The sequence below is a fragment of the Homo sapiens genome, chromosome 3, assembly GCF_000001405.40.
Source record: "Homo sapiens chromosome 3, GRCh38.p14 Primary Assembly".
Taxonomy (NCBI): Eukaryota; Metazoa; Chordata; class Mammalia; order Primates; family Hominidae; genus Homo; species Homo sapiens.
The window spans coordinates 57,052,072-57,075,657 of NC_000003.12; the positions used below are offsets into that span (position 1 = coordinate 57,052,072).

At 45.5% G+C, this 23,586-nt stretch overlaps 2 protein-coding genes across 12 annotated transcripts in view, besides 4 other annotated features; one reads left to right on the forward strand and one right to left on the reverse strand.

Moving 5' to 3' along the window:
• The window catches only part of ARHGEF3 (Rho guanine nucleotide exchange factor 3), a 351,849-nt gene that overhangs the window by 324,652 nt on the left and 3,611 nt on the right, over window positions 1–23,586 (reverse strand). The window lies entirely within an intron of this gene.
• Window positions 311–811: an enhancer, noted in NCBI's record as "H3K4me1 hESC enhancer chr3:57086410-57086910 (GRCh37/hg19 assembly coordinates)". NCBI's record gives its function as "activates a minimal SCP1, AML or CMV promoter by ChIP-STARR-seq in naive H9 embryonic stem cells {active_cell/tissue: H9 hESC(naive)}" and the evidence as "EXISTENCE:reporter gene assay evidence [ECO:0000049][PMID:30033119]".
• Window positions 812–1,312: an enhancer, noted in NCBI's record as "H3K4me1 hESC enhancer chr3:57086911-57087411 (GRCh37/hg19 assembly coordinates)". NCBI's record gives its function as "activates a minimal SCP1, AML or CMV promoter by ChIP-STARR-seq in primed H9 embryonic stem cells {active_cell/tissue: H9 hESC(primed)}" and the evidence as "EXISTENCE:reporter gene assay evidence [ECO:0000049][PMID:30033119]".
• Window positions 8,593–23,361, forward strand: SPATA12 (spermatogenesis associated 12). Its single transcript, NM_181727.2, has 2 exons — window positions 8,593–8,715; window positions 21,295–23,361. Exon 2 carries the CDS (start codon window positions 21,624–21,626, stop codon window positions 22,194–22,196), a length of 573 nt encoding a protein of 190 aa, NP_859078.1. The 5' UTR covers window positions 8,593–8,715; window positions 21,295–21,623; the 3' UTR covers window positions 22,197–23,361.
• Window positions 11,718–12,499: an enhancer, noted in NCBI's record as "H3K27ac-H3K4me1 hESC enhancer chr3:57097817-57098598 (GRCh37/hg19 assembly coordinates)". NCBI's record gives its function as "activates a minimal SCP1, AML or CMV promoter by ChIP-STARR-seq in naive H9 embryonic stem cells {active_cell/tissue: H9 hESC(naive)}" and the evidence as "EXISTENCE:reporter gene assay evidence [ECO:0000049][PMID:30033119]".
• Window positions 16,639–17,018: an enhancer, noted in NCBI's record as "active region_19985". NCBI's record gives its function as "activates an Ori minimal core promoter by ATAC-STARR-seq in GM12878 lymphoblastoid cells {active_cell/tissue: GM12878}" and the evidence as "EXISTENCE:reporter gene assay evidence [ECO:0000049][PMID:35858748]".

Genomic DNA, 23,586 nt, shown 5'->3' on the forward strand with positions numbered 1-23,586 from the left:
CCACACAACAACCCAAAGGGTGACACTGTTACTATGCTCGTGTTGTCCAGATTTATCCCTAATTTATTCTTGATCACCCAATAAAGAAACGGAGGCACACCTTGCCCAAGGCCGCCAGCCAGCGTGCCGCTTGTTCTTGTGCCTCTCACCCTCACATCCTGCGGTGCCTGTATATTAGCTGATCCAATGTCACACCTGAGAACTCAGGCATTCTGGCTCCAGAGCCTACATTCTTTTCTTTTTCAGACGGAGTCTCCTTCTGTCACCCAGGCTGGAGTGCAGTGGTGTGATCTTGGCTCACTGCAACCTCCACCTCCCGGGTTCAAGCAATTCTCCTGCCTCAGCCTCCCGAGTAACTGGGATTACAGGCAACCACCACCATGCCCGGCTAATTTTTGTATTTTTAGTAGAGACAGGGTTTCACCAAGTTGGCCAGGGTGGTCTCGAACTCCTGACCTCAAGTGATCTGCCCACTTCAGCCTCCCAAAGTGCTGGGATTACAGGCGTGAGCCACCCCACTCAGCCAGAGCCTACATTCTTAACCCTTACACTTTCCTCATCTTCTCTAGATAAAGTGGCTTAAAGCTTTTATGGAACACGGCAAGACACAAAGACATAAATAAATAAAATTCACAGTATGCTTGCATTTAGATCTACAGCCAGAGCACTCGGGCTGTCCCAAGGCAGCCAGCACACAGGCCTGGAATCGAAGTGCGTCCTTCTCCTGTCAGAAGGACACCCAGCAGGAGTACCCAAGCAGAAAGCCAGAGACCATCTAGAGCACAAACCACCCCCAGGGCACCATGGCCCATCCAGCTTGGAGATCTGCCCCAGCAGACTGACAGGGCTGCCCCAGGCCATCAAGAGAAACAGGCTTTAATTTGCCGTGGAGCAGCCCAGGGTGTGGGTGCAGGTGATGTGCCCAGGCAAACAGAAGCAGATTTGCCCTCCTCACTGGGTCCCCTCCACCCTACCCACCACCACCATTTAATCCTCGGCTTCATGCAAAGCTGCCTGCTAGGCAGGTTCCCATATGGGAAAATCCAAGGAGTGCAAATTCTGGAAGCACCAGATAAATGCACCCCTTCCTTAAACAGCACCAGAATTAAGAAAGGCCACCCTCCCTCTCAAGCGCCTGCTCTCTTTAGGATAAGGATTGTGCCAGGGACGGGTGATGGTTAGCGAGCGCTCACTGCCAAAGGACACGTGGGTAGGAGAGGGCAGGGAGGGACACACAGGAGCAATCACCGCTGCCCACACCTGGGGCAGGGAGGAGCTCCATGGCAGGAAAAACACCTGCCTCTTCCCAGCCCTCTACCTCACCTTCCCCTCCAGCCTGCCCTGCCTCTGGCTTTGTTTCATCTCCCCAACCTTCTTCCAAGGACTCTGGAAAAGTTTCTATGTGTTCTTTGTTTCCCCAATATACACACCAATAAAGTAGTTTGCAACATCCATAAAACGCATCAATCTTAAGTATACAACTCAATAACATTTTTAGATATTTATACCCCAATGTGATCACCAACCAAATCAAAACATATAAAACAGTTCCTGTCTCCTAGAAAGAAGGCTTCCTTATGTTCCTTCCCAAGTAATTGCCTACCCCAAAGGTAACTGCTATCTTGACTTCTAGTGGCATGGATTCATTTGCCTGTGTCTGAAATGTACATAAATGGAATCATACAGTATGGACTCCCTGTCCCTGGCTTCTTCCAGTCATCACTGTGTTAGAAGTTTTATCCGCGTTGTGGCATGCAGCAGTGGTTCCTTCTTTCTCATTGCTGAGTGTATCCCATTGTATGGATATACCAAATTTACTTATATATATGGCTGCTGACGGGCATTTGGATTGTTTCCACCTTTTGGTAATTATGGATAAAGTGGCTATGAACATTTGTGTACAAGTCTTTTGGTGCTCAGATGCATTCACTTCTCTTGGGTATATATCTAAAAGTGGAATTGCTGCAGCATAGGTAGGCATCTGTTAAGTTTGGGTAGATGTTATCAAAATGATTTTCCAAAATGGTTGTACCAATTCATACTCCCACTAGCAGTGTGTGTGAGTTCCAGTTGCACCATATCTTCACCAACACTTTGAGTCTTTTTAATTTTAGTCATTCTGGTGGGTATATAGTAGTATCTTTGTGTACTTACATTTTCATTTCTCTGGTGACTCCTGAGGTTAAGCATCTTTCCAAATGTTTTTGTGGTCATTTGGATATTCATTTTGATGATATGCTTGCTCAAGTCTTTTATCCTTTTAAAATTGGGTTGTCAGGTAGGTACGGTGGCTCACACCTATAATCCCAGCACTCTGGGAGGCCAAGGTGGGCTGATCGCTTGAGCCCAGGAGTTCAAGACCAGCCTGGGCAGCATGGTGAAACCCTATCTCTACAAAAAATACGAAAAAAAAAAAAAAAGTCGGGCATGATGGTGCATGCCTGTGGTACCAGCGACTCGGGAGGCTGAGGTGGGAGGATTGCTTGAGCCCAGCAGGGTGGAGGCTGAAGTGAGGCAACATCACACCACTGCACTCCAGCCTGGGTGACAGAGTGAGACCCCATCTCAAAAATTTTTTTTTTTTTTTTTTTGAGATGGAGTCTCACTCTGTCACCAGGCTGGAGTGCAGTAGTGCAGTGGCGCAATCTCAGCTCACTGCAACCTCTGACTCCCTGGTTCAAGGATTCTCCTGCCTTAGCCTCCCGAGTAGCTGGGATTATAGGCATACGCCACCATGCCTGGCTAATTTTTGTATTTTTAGTAGAGACGGGGTTTCACCATGTTGGCCAGTATGATCTCAATCTCCTGACCTCATGATCTGCCCACCCTGGCCTCCCAAAATGCTGGGATTACAGGCGTGAGCCATCGCACCCAGCAAAAAAAATTTTTTTGTAAATAAAATTGTGTTGTCTATTTCCTATTGATTTGTAGAAGTTCTTTATATATTCTGGATGTAAATCCTTTGTTGAACATATGTATTTTAAATATCTTTTCCCAGACTGCAGCTTGCCTTTTCCCTCTCTTAATGGTGTCTCTTGAAGAAGAGTTCTTATTTTTAATGAAATATGATTTATAAGCTTTTCTCTTTATGCTTTTTTTTTTTTTTTTGAGACGAAGTCCAACTCTGTTGCCCAGACTGGAGAGCAGTGGCGTGATCTCAGCTCACGGCAACTTCTGCCTCCCAGGTTCAAGCGATTCTCCTGCCTCAGCCTCCTGAGTAGCTGGGACTACAGGCGCATGCCACCAAGCCTGGCTAATTTTCGTATTTTTAGAAGAGACGGGGTTCCACTATGTTGACCAGGCTGGTCTCAAATGCCTGACCTCAGGTGATCTGCCCGCCTCGGCCTCCCAGAGTGCCAGGATTACAGGCCTGAGTCACCCCGCCTGGCCCCTTTATGCTTTTTGTGACTTATTTAAGAAACCTGTGCCTAGCCTCATCTCATGTAGAAATTCTTCTTTATTATCTTCTAGAAACTCCATTGATTTGCCTTGCACATTTAGGTTCTCAATCCATCTTGAATTATTTTTGTGTATGGTGTGAGGTAGAAGTGAGGTAGGATATACTTTTAGGGTAAAGTCCTGTCAGCTATGACCACAAACCAGGCACACAAAAAGACCAATCTCTGTTACCTCCAGAGGAAGGTGCAGCTTCCCTGACACCCAATCCTTTATCTGTATCCTCCAGAAGCCTCTGATTCCTCCTCGCCCCTGAAGCCCAACAGAATTCCAATGCACATCCCTACTGTTTGAGAGAATTTTAGGACACAAACTTCCACCTTATATAAAGCTTCCACAACTTTCCATAAGTCCATTTTGACAACTGCACATGAGTCAAAATCCTTCTAAAATGCAAAATGATTAAGTAGGAATGTGAATAGGGAAAAGGTAAGACAGCATCTGGCTGTCAGATCTGCTGGGCACTGTGTGCCTCTATGGGCTAGGAATTAGGGAGGCCACAGAATATGAGCAGACATAGCCCCTACTGTCACCATGCTCACAGCCTGGAGAAGAGACCAATAAAAAATGGGAGCAGAGGCCGGGTGCGGTGGCTCACACCTGTAATCCTAGAACTTTGGGAGGCTGAGGTGGGCAGATCCCGAGATCAGAAGATCGAGACCATCCTGGCTAACATGGTGAAACCCCATCTCTGCTAAAAATACAAAAAATTAGCCAGGTGTGACAGCACACACCTGTAATTCCAGCTACTCGGGAGGCTGAGGCAGGAGAATCTCTTGAACCTGGGAGGCGGAGGTTGCAGTGAGCCAAGATTGTGCCACTGCACTCCAGCCTGGGCGACAGAGCAAGACTCCATCAAAAAAAAAAAAAAAAAAAGAAGCAGAGCAAGTATGCAGGGAAAAGTGATCATGGGGAGCCTCCCTGCAATGTTTGAGCCAAACTAGATATGGGAGGGAGCTGGCCCTAAGAGAAGGGGCAAAAGTGTTCTGGACAGGAGGACCAGCAGACTCAGAGGCTGAGCAAGCAAAGGGATTGGGACATAGCTGGAACATCCATGAGACCAGGAGGCATGACGAGGAGTGGAAAGGGCATGTTAGTTAAGGCAAGAAGAGATGTGGATTTTTTTCTAAGCAGAATCGGTTATCGTTTCTTTTTCTTTCTTTTTAGTTTTTTGTAGAGACAGGATGTAGCTATGTTGCCTCATGTTGGGCATGGTCTCAAACTCCCGGTCTCTGTTATCTTGAACATATACCACAAGGTCCTCTATGAGGTTGATGCACCACAAAAGACTATGGGATTGAAGGGCATTCAGTCAACTGGTCCACCCTGAAATCCTTCTATCCCACCATGGTTCAAGCAGGCGACAAAACACAAAGGCTCCTCTTGGCCTTGACCATGCAGGTCTATACACACACACACACCCCACACACCCCTGCCCCCTGCCCCCTTCCATCTTTTCCTTTAGGTCTAAACACAAGCAGGCTGTCACTCCACCTGCCCCCTTGGTAGTACCTCCAGCTGTAGTCCCGTTATGATCCTGGGTAAAATGGGGTCTACACTGCAGGTTTCTGCATTTTTTAATTTTCATTATTATTATTTTTTGAGATGGAGTTTCACTTTGTTGCTCAGGCTGGGGTGCAGCAGCATGATATCGGCTCACTGCAACCTCTGCCTCCTGAGTTCAAGTGATTCTCCTGCCTCAGCCTCCCAAGTAGCTGGGATTACAGGTGCGTGCCACCACACTTGGCTAATTTTTGTATTTTTAGTAGAGAGCGGTTTTGCCATGTTGGCCAGGCTGGTCTCGAACTCCTGACCTCAAGTGATCCGACTGCCTTGGCCTCCCAAAATGCTGGGATTAGCTGTGAGCCACCGCGCCCGTCCAGGTTTCTGCATTTCTGTTCATGATTTCTCAGCACTTATCCCAACTATAATTTTACTTGCATTCATGTGACTATTTGATTAGTATCTGTTTCCTGAGTGAGTCTTGTCTGTTGACTCTGGTAGGGTAGAGTCTGAGCCGGTCTTAGCCACCAAGACTTCCTCAGCACCTAGCACAGGGCCTGGCCCAGGGTAAGTCACACCCACACCCACACCCCCACACAAGCTTTTTTAAAATGTAAAAGTTTAAATACAAACGGAGAAAGAATATAATGTACCCTCTGTGCCACACATCATACAATTTGAGTGGTCAACTCATTCCTAATATTATTTCTTCTACACTCAACCCAGTGAAGCGAACTCCAGCCATCGTATCACTTGATACATACTTGAGTGATATAGAGTAAGTGAATGAATGACTGCCTCCTACTATAACAGACAAACTGGGGGGCTTAATTCTTGCTCTCACTGATTTTACTGTCCATACTAGACAGACAAGGGAGAGTTGAGGAGGGGCCACTTAAATGAGTCAGTCAGTTTTGCCACCAAGTTAGCAACTCTGATAAAATTTCAGATGAAACTAAAACTATTGTCCAAAGTGAATTTCCTTTTCCTCATATTGACTGGGCTTTAACCCTTCAGTCGTGTCCTTGCCATGGCCACATTCACCAAAAGCCGACTGTAAAGGAAGGGAGGGTTACCTATTTCCCACAATCTCTTTCAATTAAAAGTCCTGAAAGAACAAGTTTCTTTCCATAAAATAAGCCATGTGGCCTTTTACACAGAAAAATAAGGAATGCCTGGAAATTAGTATTACCACTTGCTCCCTCAAGGGCCAATCTACATTACACCTATTTTCTCTATTTTCACATTTATGAGAACTTGTTCCAAATCAGTCTGGTCTTTTTGAAATGCCATTACAGTTTTACATACATTGGACAAAACTGTCATAGACTGTGATGCTCTCGGCGTCCAGCAAAATGAGTGATACTTGTACCCAATGGGTTTGTTTCATGTCACCTGCCCTTCAAGGTCCCAAAAGTGTGCATAAAAATAACAACTTGAAATGCTCACATGCCAGGAAACAACAGGTGCTGGAGAGGATGTGGAGAAATAGGAAAACTTTTACACTGTTGGTGGGACTGTAAACTAGTTCAACCATTGTGGAAGTCGGTGTAGCGATTCCTCAGGGATCTAGAACTAGAAATACCATTTGACCCAGCCATCCCACTACTGGGTATATACCCAAAGGATTATAAATCATGCTGCTATAAAGACACATGCACACGTATGTTTATTGCGGCACTATTCACAATAGCAAAGACTTGGAACCAACCCAATGTCCAACAATGATAGACTGGATTAAGAAAATGTGGCACATATACACCATGGAATACTATGCAGCCATAAAAAATGATGAGTTCATGTCCTTTGTAGGGACATGGATGAAGCTGGAAACTATCATTCTCAGCAAACTATCGCAAGGACAAGAAACCAAACACCGCATGTTCTCACTCATAGGTGGGAATTGAACAATGAGAACACATGGACGTAAGAAGGGGAACATCACACACCAGGGACTGTTGTGGGGTGGGGGGAGGGGGGAGGGATAGCATTAGGAGATATACCTAATGTAAATGATGAGTTAATGGGTGCAGCACGCCAACATGGCACATGTATAGATATGTAACAAACCTGCACGTTGTGCACATGTACCCTAAAACTTAAAGTATAATAATAATAAAAAAAAGAAATGCTGACATGCAATCATACTTAACTATGCCTTTTTTTACTATAAAATATATTCATTACTTGTATTTTCTAAATTTTTTCATAAGCACAGGGAAAAAATTTTAAGCCTTGTCTTTAAGCCTAGAGCAAGGGTGTCCAATTTTTTGGCTTCTCTGGGACACACTGGAAGAAGAATTGTCTTGGGCCACACATAAAATACACTAACACTAACAATAGCTGATGAACTAAAAAAAAAACTCATAATGTTTTTTAAAAGTTTATGAATTTGTATTGGGCCACATGTTAGACAAGCTTGGCCTAAAGATAAGTCACATTTTGGAGTCTGTTCTTCCCCGTGTGTGTATGAGTTGGGGGTGGGGGGAGGGAGGGTGGTGAGCAGCATGATTACAAGTCCAGGCTCCTTAATCAGTGATAGGTTCAAATCTGGCTCTGCTATCTGCCACCCACATAGCCTCAGGCAAGTTGCTTCCCTCCATAAGCACATTTCCTCTTCTGCAAAGTAGGACTGAAATGACTGCCTGATGGGGTGACAATGAGGCTTTAAAAAGACGAAGAGGGGCTGGGTATGGTGGCTCACGCCTGTAATCACAGCACTTTGGGAGGCCAAGTTGGGCAGATCACCTAAGGTCCAGAGTTCAAGACCAGCCTGACAAACATGGAGAAACCCCATCTCTACTAAAAATACAAAAGTAGCCAGGCATGGTGGCACATGCCTGTAATCCCAGCTACTCGGGAGGCTGAGGCAGGAGAATCGCTTGAACCTGGGAAGCAGAGGTTGCAGTCAGCGGAGATCACGCCATTGCACTCCAGCCTGGGCAACAAGAGTGAAACTCTATCTCAAAAATAAAAATAAAAATAAAAATAAATAGATGAAGTGAGGGACAAGGCATGGTGGCTCACACCTGTAATCCCAGCACTTTGGGAGGCCAAGGCGGGAGGATCACTTGAGCCTAGGAGTTCAAGAGCTGACTGGACAACATAGCGAGACCCCATCTCTATAAAAAATTTTAAAATTAGCTGGGTGTGTGACATGTACCTACAGTCCCTGTGGGAGGATCTCTTGAGCCTGGGAGGTCAAGGCTGCAGGGAGCCGTGATTGTGCCACGGCACTCCAGCCTGGGCGACAGAGCTGAGATTCTGTCTCAAAAAAAAAAAAAAAAGGAACTTAGCCCAGGGCCCGTATGCAGCAAGCACTTAAATGGTATAGCTGCTGCTACTCGGGTTATCAAAAAGGAGCTGCAAAAAAGTCTAGGTTCTGCAGGAGAGCCCTTCCAAGAACCTGCCCAGGAAGTGGGTACACCTGTCCCCACCCCCACAGTAGGAGTCAGAATCAGGGACTGGAAGGGATGGGGTTCCTGGAGGAAGCTCACAGCAGCAGCAGCCTCTGAGTCACAACTCAGCCCCTCCCTGGCATATCCCTTTGTTTGCTGGGAGTTGAGCTGTGACTCACAAAGGCTCTGGTCCCGGGCTGGGCCCATGTGACCCAGGGTCCTGACTGCCCTGCCCACAGTCACTGAGAAAATTCTTTGTGCAGGCTCACCTTCCCCTCATCTCCCCCACTCTTCCTGATCCTGCAGCGTCAGATCCCAGCCTGCAGTATCAGACCTCAAAAGGAGCCTCTGGTGTCTTGTGAGTAGTTTACCTGCCGCCCCACCCCCACCCCGAAACACACACACACACATGGGCACACACCACCACCACTTCTTTTTTGGCCTGTGCCTGTTTTTTCACTGTGCTACATTTTGACATAAGTTCAATCTATAAAGAAAAAGTCCAGGAGAGTCCAACTCCTCTTATACTCTTTTTTATTGTGGTAAAATATAATATAAAACATACCACTTTAACCATTTTTAAGTGTACAGTTCAGTGACATCTAGCACATTCACCATATTGTACAACTCTTACCATTATCCATTTCCAGAACTTTGTTGTCATTCTAAACAGAAACTGTGTACCCATTCAGCGGTAACTCCTCCTGCACCTGCCCCTCTCCCAGCCCCTACTGTATTAATACTTCTCTCTCTAAACTTGCTATTCCAGGTACCCCCTGTAAGTGTCCTTTTGTGACTGACTTTTCTCATGTAGCATAATACTTTCATGGATCAGCATGTTGTAGCATGTGTCAAAAATTCCTTTATTTATTATTATTTTTTTTTTTGCAATGGGGTCTGGCCCTGTCATCCAGGCAGGAGTACAGTGGCACGATCATAACTCACTGCAGCCTCAAACTCCTGGGCTCAAGAGATCCTCCTATCTTGGCCTCCCAAAGTGCCAGCATTACAGGTGTGAGCCATCTCACTCAACCAGAAATTCCTTCCTTTTTAAGGCTAAATAATATTCCATTGTATGTACATACCACATTTTGTTTATCCATTCATCTGTCAATAGACATTTGTATTATTTTTACCTTTTGGCTATTGTGAATAACGCTGCTGGGAACATGGGAATGCAAGTATCTGTTTGGATCTCTGCTTTCATTTCTTTGGGTATATACCCAGATTTGGAATTGCTGGACTATATGATACCTCTATGTTTAACTCCTGTTACACTTTTAGGATTCTGGCAGCCACCACAGCTAACTCTCAGTGAGCAGTCTCTCATCCTGTGTTACTCACCACTCTAAGAATTTTTATTAACTCATTTAGTCCTGAGGTGTGGTATAATTATTTTCATCCCCATTTTACAGACAAAGAACCTGAGGTGAGAGAGGTCCTCCTTCTCAGATGGCAGCATCAGTATCTGAGCCCGCATAGGTTCAGATTTAAATTGTTTCTCCGGTTGTGACAAAAACAAGGTGCTGCTCTGCCTACAAGCATTTTCTGCCCTGAATAATGCCTTTGGGAGGGTTTCCACATCTTTCCTTGCTCTGGACTAAGGATCAAGTAAAAAAAGAGAGTGGGGCAGGGATGCTCCACTGGATTGGATCTGTCTAGACTCACTGCTAGCAGTGAGAAATCCAACTCCATCTAGATGGGTGAGAAGGGGGATTTGTAGGAAGATCCCTGGAGCAGCTCAGTCATGTGACTAGATCCAAAGGCAATGTGCCCAACCCTCCCCTCGCAGCTCCACACTCTGGGCCTGTCCTCACTGCTCTAGCGCTGGGTGAGTGCCTTCAAGCACCTTCTCTGCCACTTCTGAGTGGGTTAGGATGACCCTGAGGAAGCCCACAGCCTGGCAAGGGTGGCTTGTGTCTAGCTCCAGACCGGCTACCACAGCCGAGGGGAGGGGAACCATGATAGGCCCAGCCAGGACCACAGCCCCCACTCGGGCTCAGGCTAGGCTCAGGAGCACGGCGGCGGGGGCGGGGGGTGCTCAGGAGCATGGGGAAGCCTTTCAGAGAAGAGGGAAGGAAGCAGGGCAAGTGCCCAGCACAGATGCTGCATAATCTACAATAGCAAAAGATTGGAAGCTGCCCAGTAGTACTGAACAAAACAAGGTTAAATAAAGCTGCTCTAGCCACTCAGCAAAACACTATGTAGCTGTTTAACAAGCAGGAATATCTGGTGGGAATGACAGGACTCGCTGTTTCTCTGTCTACACACATGCACACACACACACACACAACAAACATGCACACACACATACATACACATATGTAATAATTCACAGGTAAGAAAAATATAGGCAAGAATTATATCATAATAGAAGAATCAAATGGCTTTTAATCTGTTTACCAAACTTTTCTTTACGGGTTCAACAAATTATTGTCTGTACCAGGCAAGGCACTGGGGACATGACAGGGAACACAATAGAAGAAAAATCCCTGCCCTCATGGAATTTACATTCTAGTGGGGGAGGCAGATGACAAGATAAATAAGCAAAATACACCTTATATTGGATAACGATAGTGTAAGGAGAAAAAGCAATGAAGGCAAAGGGGAAGTTGGGATGCAGTGGTAACGGTTTAGACACGATGACCAGGGAAGGCTGAAGGAAATGAGGGACCAAGCTCTGCAGATATTGGGAGAGGTGCATTTTGGGCAGCGGGAATAGCAGGTGCAAAGGCCCTGAGGTGCCCACGCAGGGAACAGCATGGAGGTGATGTGGCTAGAGTGCGGTTATGAGGGGGAAGGGCAAACTAAGAGAGGAGTCAGAGAGGAAATGCAGCCAGATCACATGGGGCCTTGCAGCCAGCCACCCTAAAGGCTTTGGCTTTGTTGCAGTGAAATGAGAGCTATTTGAGGGCTTTGAGCAGAGAAGTAGCCAACCCTTCAGAAGGTTCCCTCTGACTCTGAGTTGAGAACAAGCTGAAAGGAGGTAAAGGCAGAGGCTTGGAGGCCGCAGTCATTCAGGTGAGAGGGGAGAATGACCTGGAGGGTGGTAGGAGCGGGAGGGGAGCAGTGGCCACTCTACAAGTAGAGTCTTTTGACAAGTGAAGAGAAGAGAGATACAAAAGTCAAAGATGACGCCCCAGGCTTTGGGCCTGAGCAACCAGGAGGTTGGGGTGCTCCTTAACAGAGATGTGGGAAGAGGATCAGGAGAGTCGGGCATCCTAGAAGCCAGGTGAGACAAGGCTTCGAGGAAGAGAAAGTGACCAACTCCATCACACGCTGCTGGTAGTCAGGAAGGATGGCAACAGAGAACAGGCCATTGGGATGAGCAACCAGGCACTCACTGTAGACCTTGGTAAGAGATATCTGGGGAGAGGGGAGTGGAAGCCAAGCCTGCCTGAAATGAGGGGCTCAAAAGAGAATGGGATAGCAGCATCATTCACAATAGACAAAAGGTGGAAGCAACTCAGTGTCCATGACAGATGAATGGTAGAACAAAATGTGGCAAATGCATAGAATTGAATAATATTCTGCCTTAAAAAGGAGGGAAATTCCATGCCAGCTGTGCTGGCTCACGCCTGTAATCCCAGCACTTTGGGAGGCCCAGGGAGGGGGACTGCCTGAGCTCAGGGGCTCGAGACCAGCCTGGGCAACATGGCAAAACCCTGTCTCTACCAAAAATACAAAAAAATTAATTGGGCATAGTGGTGCATGCCTGTAGTCCCAGCTAACCCGGAAGCTGAGGTCAGAGGATTGCTTGAGCCTGGGGGGTAGAGGTTGCAGTGAGCTGAGATTGTGCCACTGCAGCAATCAGTGACAGAGTGAGGCCCCGTCTCAAAAAACAAAACAGAAAACCAAAAACCAAGAAGGAAATTCTTTCTTTTTTTTTTCTTTCTTTTTTTTTCTTTTTTTGGAGACAGGGTTTCCCTCTGTTATCCAGGCTGGGATGCAGCGGCAAGATCACGGCTCACTGCAGCCTCAACTTCCCTGACTCAAGTGATCCTCCCATCTCAGCCCCCAAGTAGCTGAGATTACAGGTGCATGCCACCACGCCCAGCAAATTGCTGTATTTTTTGTAGACAGGGTATCACCATGTTGCCAAGGCTGGTTTTGAACCCCTGGGCTCAACATCCGCCTCCTCGGTGCTGGGATTACAGGCATGAGCCACCATACCCAGCCCAAAGGAAGGAAATTCTGACACATGTTACAACATGGGTGAACCTTGAGCACATTATGCTGAGTGAAATAAGCCAGTCACAAAAGGACAAATATGGCATGATTCCACTTATATGAGGTATCTAGAACAGTCAAATTCAGAGACAGAAAGTAGAATGCTGGTCTCCAGGGACTAGGGGCAGGGGGGAATGGGAGTTGCTGTTTAATGGATACAGTGTTTCAGTGTCACAAGATGAAAAGCTCTGCAGATTGGTTGCACAATAATATCAGTATACGCAACACTACTGACCTGAAAACTTAAAAATAGTCAACACAGTAAATTTTACGTTATGTGTGTTTTATCACAATTTTTTGAGACACAATAGAAGGCAAAAAATTAGTAAGTCCAGAAAATTATTTCAAAAAGTTTTGCTCTAAACTGAAGAGAAATGGGTGTATAACTGTAGGGAGAAGTAGGGTGGAGAGAGGGTTCTGCTGTTTTTAAGTTGGGAGAAATAACTGCATGTTTATTTGCTGATGGGACCAATCCAGTAGGCCATGGTCTTAAATGTTGAAATTACTTGCAAAAGGCCGGGCGCAGTGGCTCACGCCTCACGCCTGTAATCCCAGCACTTCGGGAGGCCGAGGCGGGCAGATAACTTGAGGTCAGGAGTTCGACACCAGCCTGGCCAACATGGTGAAACCCTATCTCTACGAAAAATACAAAATTAGCCGGGTGTGATGGTGTGCACCTGTAGTCCCAGCTACTAAGGAGGATGAGGCAGGAGAATCACTTGAGCCCAGGAGGCAGAGGTTGCAGTAAGCTGAGATTATGTCACTGCACTCCAGCCTGGGCAACAGAGCAGGACTCCATCACAAAACAAAAAAAAAAGAAATTACTTGCAAAAGAAAAACTGTATTTTAGGATGATAAATATTCTGGAACTAGTGGTGATATCTGCACTACCGTATGCATGTGCTAAAAAACAGACTGGGTACTTGAAAAGGGTCAATTTTGTGGTATGTTAATTATACCTCAATAAAAATAAAAGCTATAATAAATGTTTAATGTCTTCCAAATACCATGTTCTCATACAGGCTGAGTTCCCACCCAGGCAGCCCCAGATACCTACAGTTTCTGTGGCCAGTGACCCACCACAGCTAGGTGGTAGCCTGCGGAACAGGAGAGGCAAGGTCATCCTCATTACGGCTGAGTCACAAATGCTGCATTAGCACACACAGCCCCCTACAGCTAGATCTACGGAGCATGCACCAATTTGTTGCAGATAAATGGCACCTTTTACTTAGGCCCATGAACTCTCAGGTCTTCAGTCTTAAAATGAAATCTAAGAGCTGGGCACAGTAATTCACATCTGTAATCCCAGCTACTCAGGAGGCTGAGGCAGGAGGATCACTTGAGGCCAGGAGGGCAACACAGTGAGACTCTGTCTCCAAAACAAAAAAAAAAAACCCTAAAATGTAAGAAAAAATCCTTTCAATCAGAACAAGAAACTCTGCACCCCCACTGCCAATCTGCCCACCCATCTGGTCCACCTGTAATTGCAAGAGAACAAGGGAGGGACTTATTTTGCAGTCAATCAAAGGGGAGGGAATTCTTTCCGAAATGTTCTCCTATCTGTACCAACAGCACACTTCCACTTCCAACCATTACACTTTTCCTTTCTTTCTTTTTTTTTTTTTCTGAAACAGAGTCTGACTCTGTCACCCAGGTACAGTGGCATGATCTTGGCTCACCGCAACCTCCGCCTCCCAGGTTCAAGCGATTCACCTGCCTCAGCCTCCCAAGTAGCTGGGATTGCAGGCACCCGCCACCATGCCTGGCTTAATTTTTGTATTTTTAGTAGAGACGGGGTTTCACCATGTTGGCTAGGCTGGTCTTGAACTCCTGACCTCAAGTGATCCATCCGCCTCGGCCTCCCAAAGTGCTGGGACTATTGGCGTGAGCCACCGCGCCCAGGCTTTTGCCTTTTTCCTTTCTTCTGAACAACCTCAAACAGTATTTTACCCACTGTGATGATTAATTTTATGTGTCAACTTGGCTAGACCATGGTAACCAGCTATTTGGTCAAACATTCTAGACATTTCTGTGAAGGTATTTTTTAGATGAGATTAACATTTAAATCAGTGGACTTAGAGTAAAGCAGATTATTCTCCATGATGTGGTGGGCTTTATCCAATCAGCTATAAGCCTTAATAGAAAAAGACCGACCTCCCAGAGCAGGAAGAATTCTACCCAGAGAGCCTTTGGGCTCACTGCAACTCTTCCCTGGGTCTCCGGCCTGCCAGTCTACCTTGCTGATTTTTGACTCACCTGGCCTCCACAATCACATGAGCCAATTCCTAAAAATCAACCTCTCAATAGATAGATGAGCGATTGATTGACACACATCCTGTTGGTTCTGTTTCTCTCCAAACCCTAATACACACCCAAAATAAGTGATTTTCCAATAGAAATTGTCTGTAAGGACCTGTACTTGCATGAAATTTCAAGTCACCAGATAAATGAATAAAAATATATTTTTTAAAAACCACAAAATATGGCAACCCAGAAAGAATAACATTTGTCGGCCAGGCGCGGTGGCTCACGCCTGTAATCCCAGTACTTTGGGAGGCCAAGGCGGGTGGATCACAAGGTCAGGAGATCGAGACTATCCTGGCTAACACGGTGAAACCCTGTCTCTTCTAAAAATACAAAAACAAAATTAGCCGGGCGTGGTGGCGGGCGCCTGTACTCCCAGTTACTCGGGAGGCTGAGGCGGGAGAATGGCGTGAACCCAGGAGGCAGAGCTTATAGTGAGCCAAGATTGCGCCACTGCACTCCAGCCTGGGTGACAGCAAGACTCTGTCTCAAAATAATAATAATAATAATAATAATAATAATAATAATATTTGTCTATATACTGATCAAAGCTATCATAGTAGATATATTTGTTTTCAAATGCAACTTTAGGGTGGGTGCAGTGGCTCACACCTGTAATCCCAGCACACTGGGAGGCTGAGGCCAGAAAATCACATGAGGCCAGGAGTTTGAGACCAGCCTGGGTAATACAGAGAGACCCAGTCTCTACAAAAAATTTAAAAAATTAGCCGGCGTGAGACCAGGCACGGTGGCTCATGCCTGTAATCCCAGCACTTTGAGAGGCCGAGGCGGGCGGATCATGAGGTCAGGAGATCGAGACCATTGGCTAACACGGTGAAACCCCGTCTCTACTAAAAAAAAAAAACAAAACAAAAAAATTAGCCAGGCAAAGTGGCGGGCTCCTGTGGTCCCAGCTACTCAGAAGGCTGAGGTAGGAGAATGGCGTGAACCTGGGAGGCAGAGCTTGCAGTGAGCCAAGATCACACCACTGCACTCCAGCCTGGGCGACAGAGCAAGACTCCGTCTCAAAAAAAACAAAAACAAACAAACAACAACAAAAAATTAGCCGGTGTGGTGGCATGCACCTGTAGTCCCAGTTACTCTGGAGGCCAAGGCAAGAGGATCACTTGAGCCCAGAGGACACTAGACACGCATAGGGTAACTATTGTTTCACCAAATAATTCAGATATGCGCGCACACACACATACACACACACACACACACACACCAGGTTACCAGGTTGCAGTCTATGTTTTACAATAGGTCACAGTCAAAAACATGGGAGAAGCCACCATACTCCACCACACAATAAATGCTTAATAAAATTTGGTAGCATCATCATTCTTATCTCACTCTAAAAGGTAATACGTTCATTTTCTTCATTAGCATTTATTATCACAATAAAATAGAGCTTCTAACACATTTATCAATGCTGCCACTCACTGCAGTGCTGTTTAAGAGTCATTGCACCTCCCTAAATTAACTTGCCAATTCTCTCGCCTCAAAAGGACTCAGGCAATCATTTAAATAATTTCTGACTCACAAAGCTGGCCAAGGATTAGCGAGGCCCTGCCCAGCCCAGAACACATGAAATGTGAGTGATTTGTTAAGAAAACCATTTGAGTTTGCAAGACTGCACAGGGCTTTTATAAAACTAAAGCCATGCTGGAGAGAAACAGTCCTCCCCACCCCCTTGGGAGATGTGTCATAGAGATAGGTCACACAAGGTCAGCCAAGCTGTACCTTCTGAGACTGGGCAGGAACTGAAGCGCCAAACCTCAACTGTGTAACGTGCTTCCTTGTTTTGGGGTTAGGTTATATCATTGTGTTTTTCCCCTAACTTTCCATGTGCACACACACGCACACACCCCCCTCACTAAAGGATGGAAACAAAATCCCTATGAACTGCCGGTTCCAACAACTTAAATAAGGGAATCTGCTAAGGCAAAAGATCTGATTTTTTTTTTTTTTTTTTCTGAGACCGAGTCTCGCTGTATCACCCAAGCTGGAGTGCTATGACGTGATCTTGGCTCACCGTAACCTCTGCCTCCCAGGTTCAAGCAATTCTCTGCCTCAGCCTCTCTCTAGTAACTGGGATTACAGGCACTCACCACCACGTCTGGATAATTTTTGTATTTTTAGCAGAGACGGGGTTTCACCATCTTGGCCAGGCTGGTCTTGAACTCCTGACCTCGTGATCCACTTGCCTCAGCCTCCCAAAGTGCTAGGATTACAGGCGTGAGCCACCACGCCTGGCCTAGATCTGAGATTTTGAAGACCTCAAAACATATATTCTATTGCATGTAAGTTTCTCTTCTCCCAGAAACAAACTAAAAACACAGTCCAAATTCATGCTTTTTTAAATTGCTTTTTTGAAACAACTGCAATAAATAACTCTAATCTCTGTCTCTCAAACACACACACACACACACACACACACACACACACATTGTTTGTTTAAAATGAGAGCTCCTCACCCCAGATGAGTTGAGGTATGAATGGATTTGAAGTTTCAAATGTAGTTTCCCAGGTTGTTCTTTAAGTTTAGAAAACAAGGTTCCAAGTGATACAAATATAGGCACTCCATTTTTTATTATTTCTTTCTTGAAAATAAAATCATGTATTTGTGCTGTGCCAAAGCATTACATCTGGAACACATAAGTACATGTCAGGGTGTAAACTAAGCTTTTTTTTTTCTTTTGAGACAGGGTCTTGCTCTGTCGCCAAGCTGGAGTGCATTAGTGTGAGCACAGCTCATTGCAGCGTCAAACAACGGGGCTCAAGCTATCCTCCCACCTTAGCCTTCCAAGTATGTGGGACTACAGACATGTGCCGTCACACCCAACTAATTTTTAATTGTTTTATAGAAATAGAGTCTCGCTTTGCTGCCCAGGCGGGTCTCAAACTCCTAGCCTGAGGCAATGCTCCCACTTCAACCTCCCAAAGTGCTGGGATTACAGGCATGAGCCACTGCGCCTGGCCTAAACTAAACTTTTAATATGTGATATTACTCCCTTTTTATTTTTATTCCATTCTTCAAACTATGATGTGAGTGAATTGGGGGTGAGGGGCTAAGATTGTTTTAGCAGCAGAACTCTTTCCTCAAATGAAATTGTACCCCTTTGCCCAACAGATAAAACAAGATAAAATGGAGCCTGGCTTCAATTCTCCTATCACCACCTGGTGCCTCCAGGGCTGTGGGGTCTCCCAGTTCCCACCACACTTCTCCAGGCATGAAGCAAGGGGTTATGGGAGTATCTTAGAGATCTCCATCCCATCCTTAGCATGAAGGAAAGCCAGATCTGTCATATGTGTGTCCAGGTGCCAGATGCACTCCCATTTCACAAATTCAGGAGTTAAATGTCTTACCCAAGCCTTAAATTAGACACTACAGTATACTGTGTTACTTTCTTCAAAAAGGAAAGAGACATTTACATCGCTGGAGTTTTGTCTGTGCAGTTTGATGGATGGGTCTCAGAGTGCCTACTCAGCAGACTCAATGACTAGGGAAGCTGAGTGAGCAGTGCCACCAGCAAAAAGGAATTTAGGTTCCACAGTTAATATTGTTAAGATGGCAAAACTCCCCAAGTGATCTACAGAGTCAATGTAACCCCTGTCAAAATCTCAGGTCTCTTTTTGCAGAAACTAACAAGCTGATCCTAAAATTCATAGGGAGATCCAGAACAGCCAAAATAATCTAGAAAAAGAAGGTCAGGCTGGGCACAGTGGCTAACACCTATAATCCCAGCACTTTGGCAGGCCAAGGTGGGAGGACTACTTGAGCCCAGGAGTTTGAGACCAGCCTGGGTAACACAGCCAGACCCAGTCTCTACCAAAAATAAATAAATAAAAATTAAAAATTAGCTGGGTATGGTTGCACACATCTGTAGTCCCAGCTACTTGGGAGGCTGAGGTGGGAGGATTGCTTGAGCCCAGGAGGTCGAGGCTACAGTGAGCAGTGATCATGCCACTGCACTTCAGCCTGGGTGACAGAGCAAGACTCTGTCACAAAAAAAAAAAAAAAAGAAAGAAAGAAAGAAAAAAGAAAAAGAAGGACAAAGTTGGAGGATTCATACTTCCTGATTTCAAAACTTACTACAAAGCTATAGTAGTCAAGACAGTATAGACAGCAATACTGGCATAAGGATAGACATATAGATGAATGGACTAGAATTGAGAATGCAGAAATAAATGCTTACATTTATAGTAAATTGATTTTTGACAAGAGTGTCAAAACAATTTAATGGGGAAGAAGAGTCTTTTCAACACATGGTTCTGGGACAACAGGATTTCCATATGCAAAAAATGAAGCTAGACCCCTACCTCACACCACATACAAACATCAAATCAAAACAGATCAAAGTTCTAAATCTAAGAGCTAAAACTATAAAACTCTTATAAGAATATATAGGCATATGGCTGGGCGTGGTGGCTCATGCCTGTAATCCCAGCACTTTGGGAGGCTAAGGTGGGCAGATCATGAGGTCAGGAGTTCCAGACCAGCCTGGCCAACATGGTGAAACCCCGTCTCTACTAAAAATACAAAAATCAGCTGGGTGTGATGATGCACACCTGTAGTCCCAGCTACTTGAGAGGCTGAGGCAGGAGAATCATTTGAAACCGGAAGGTGGAGGTTGTAGTGAGCCGAGATCATGCCACTATACTCCAGCCTGGGTGAAAGAGCAAAACTCCATCTCAAAAAAAAAAAAAAAAATATGCCTTAGGCATAAGTTTTCATGACCTTGCATCAGGCAAAGGTTTCTTACGTATGACACCAAAAGCACAGGAAACCCAAGAAAAATAGATAAATTGAACTTCACCAAAATTAAAACCTGGCACTTCAAAGAACACCATCAAGAAAGTGAAAAAATAACCCACAGAATGGGCAAAAAATACTTTAAAATCATAGCTGATAAGGAACTGAACTCAGAATATATAAAGAACACTTACAACTCAATAATAAAGAGACATATAATCCAATTTAAAAATAGATAAAAGACCAAATATACATTTCTCCAAAGAAGATACACAAATGGCCAATAAGCACATGAAAGAAGGCACAACATCATTAGCCATCTGGGAAATGCAAATCAAAGTCACAATGAGATGCCACTTCATACCCACTTAGGATGGCAATAATCACAAGATGGATAATAACAAGAGTTGATGAAGATGTGGAGAAACTGGAACCCTCGTGCACTGCTGGTGGGATTTTAAAACAGTGCAGCCACTTTGGAAACAGTTTGGCAGTTCCTCAAAATGTTAAGAGTTACCATATACCTAGCAATTCCACTGCTAGATATATATTCAAGAGAAATAAAACCATATGTCCACAGAAGTTTGTATATTCTTCCCTGAGGAATGGAAGAGCCAGGGCAGGTAAAAGAGAGGAGAAATGTATACGGTCAAAGAAAACACTCTTGGACATAACTAAATGGGAAAACATTAGTTGTTAGCACTGTCCAGGCCAAATAAAGAATTAAAAAAAAAAAAATAGGCCAGGTGCGGTGGCTCATGTCCGTAATCCCAGCACTTCAGGAGGCCGAGGTGGGAGGATTGCTTGAGCTCAGGGGTTCAAGACCAGCCTGGGCAACATGGCAAAACCCTGTCTCTACTAAAAATACAAAAAATTAGCCAGGCGTGGTGGCACATGCCTGTAGTCCCAGCTACTAGGGAGGCTGAGGCATGAGAATCACGTGAACCCGGGGGGCAGAGGTTGCAGTGAGCTGAGATACCACCCTGGGCAACAGAACGAGACTCTGTCAAAAAAAAAAAAAAAAAGAATAAAAATAAATAAAAACAAGCCAGGCGTGGTGGCTCACTCCTGTAATCCCAGCACTTTGGGAGGCCAAGGCGGGTGGATCACGAGGTCAGGAGTTCAAGACCAGCCTGGCCAAGATGGTGAAACCCCATCTCTACTAAAAAATACAAAAATTAGCAAGGCGCAGTGGCAGGCGCCTGTAATCCCAGCTACTCGGGAGGCTGAAGCAGGAGAATCACTTGAACCTGGGTGGCAGAGGTTGCAGTGAGCCAAGGTCATGCCAGTGCACTCCAGCCTGGGTGACAGAGTGAGACTCTGTCTCAAAATAAATAAATAAAAGAAAAAACATTAGTTGGTAAGCAATACATACAAAATGAGCCCATTATGTTGGTTTTCAAAGATACTCACAGGTACCCATGCCTGTGTGAGTAAACAAAAGCAAGAGAAATCTATGCCCAGTTGATCACAAACATTCTCTCTGGAAGCAAGCTTGGGATGGGGAAGGTGGAATTTTATTTTTTACTTTTTTTTTTAATATCTCAGCATATTATACCTGTAATTACTTTTAACTCTACAACTTCTGATATGTTTACGTTTATGTTCAATAAGAATATAATCAGGATTTCTTATTTATGTTTCTAGCCAAAAGGGAAGGAAAGAGAGAGAAAGCCACTGGAGTTGGGCAGCGTGGGAAGCTGTGAAAGTGGACAAGCGTGAAAGAGCTTCCAAGTAGTGGAAACAGCAGAAGCAAAGATGTGAACATGGGAAAACCTCTGCAGTATCTGGGTGACTGTGGGGTTTGGCTCTGTTTGAGCACCCCGGGATGATTGGTGGTGGGGTGTGGCTGAAGGTGAATTGGAACAGTGCACTCAGAGCCAGGTTGCAAGAGTGCTGCATGCTCCTCAGGGATTGGCTCCGGCCAAGTGCCCCAGCCTCCTTTTCTGGAGAATTCTGTTTTTGACTTGGGCCCCATGTCCAGTTCTGCTCTGACTTGTGGGTCCACCTTAGAAAAGTCAGGAGACACCTGGGAAATGAAGGCACTAGACTCTTCCAGACTCGTTCCATGGCCACCCAGAGGCCTTGGGTCATCCACCCAACATCCCAACAAACCCCACTGTGCACTGGCATCATGCCAGGGTCCAGGTGTCCTGCCAGGAGCAGCCTCTGCCCTCCCAGAGCTGACATTTCAGGGGGATGTGTGCCAAAGTGAGACCTGTCAGAGATATTTACAAGCAGCCATCTCTCTTGACATCGCTGTATCCCAAATAAATCTTCTGGGAAGACCCTCTTCACCTCCAGCTCTCCTGATACAGCAAGGCAGTTGTGAGCAAGTTATTCATAACTCTACACCTCAATTTCTTGGTATGGAAGATGGGGATAATGAGAGGACCACAGGATGGTTGTGGAGACTGTGTGAGGATATAGATGCCGAGCCCAGTAGCACAGGGTGCAGCCGTTCAAACCAACTGACATTTACTGAGGGCTGCTTTGTCAGGTCCCTCTCTACAGTATACTCCAACACACACATACACACACATCTGTAATCAATAATAATCCTGCAACATCTGAGAGTCTGGCAGCTGTTTGTCTGGGCCTTTGCACATGCTATGCCCTCCCTTCCATCCCCCACCCCCACCAGGGGTGACTCGTAGCCATCCCTTTCTGCATCTTCTTAGATATCACTTTTTCCAAGAAGCCTCCCTGTCACACTTCCCCAATATCACAGATGAAGAAATCAAGATTCAGAAAGGTTAAGTTACTGGCACAAGGTCACACAATCCAGATCTCATACTCTTAGCCCCCGGGGAACCTTCACTGTATTAAATGACATCAATTGATCAATCAATCGATCAATCAATGAAAGAGTGGGAGGCATGCATCTCCTGATCCCCGATCCTATACATTTTCATCTCTTTATTGTTTCTATCAAAGCCTGCTAAGTAATTACTTTCCCTCTGGGTAAGTGCCACTAGGTGATGAGGTGAGGTAATCAAATGACATAGAAGAGGAAGGAGTCCACTGCCAGGGTAGGTGCAGTGGAGCAAGTCTTACAATGTGCAGGATTATAACTCCAGCAATGACCCCTAGGCTCATGCTCATTCCCCAGGTGGCAGTTTCAGAACACATTGCTCAGGTCTCACCCTGTAAATGTAGGTACCAGCCTTCTAGTTGACCATCAGAACACACAACGCCAAGATCTTACTCCAGCCACCTGCCAGGACCTGGAGGGCAGGAGGAGAGTTCTGCCTACATTGTCTCATTTTCCCTCCCCTTCTGCAGTGAGATAGACCATGTCCAGTGCTCAGGAGTTGACTGGCCACACTGGGGAGTTTGACCACAACATTGGGCTCCATATGCATGGAATGAGGTTGCATGCAATTGTCCATGAGGCTGCTCCCTCATTTGTCTGGGTTTCTGCTCCAATGCTATCTCCTCAGAAAGACCTTCTCTGACTGAAGCCAGCTCTGCCTCCATCCCATCACTCTGGATCTCCTTCCCCAGCTTCATCTCCATTACACTGGCCACTCTCCCTCACATCTTATTACTGATCTAGTTGTCTACTGTCCATCTCCACCACTGGGATGTAAACTCCACAAGGGAGGAATGCTGTCAGTTTCTTTGACTGCTGTGTGGTCAGTACCAGGGCAATGCCTCGCACAGAGTAGCCCTCTCTCCCTAAATGTTTTTGAATAAATGAAATAAATGAGCTAAGTGGCTAAGACATGTGTAAATACAACCTCAATTAGGAACAGTCTTGCCAGTCCTCTTTTTTTTTCTTCTTTTTTTAAGAAAAAAAAAAAAATGGGCCCGGCATGGTGGCTCATGCCTGTAATCCCAGCACTTTGGGAGGCCAAGGCAGATGATCACTTGAGCTCAGGTATTCAAGACCAGCCTGGGCAACATGGTGAAACCCCATCTCTACAAAAAATACAT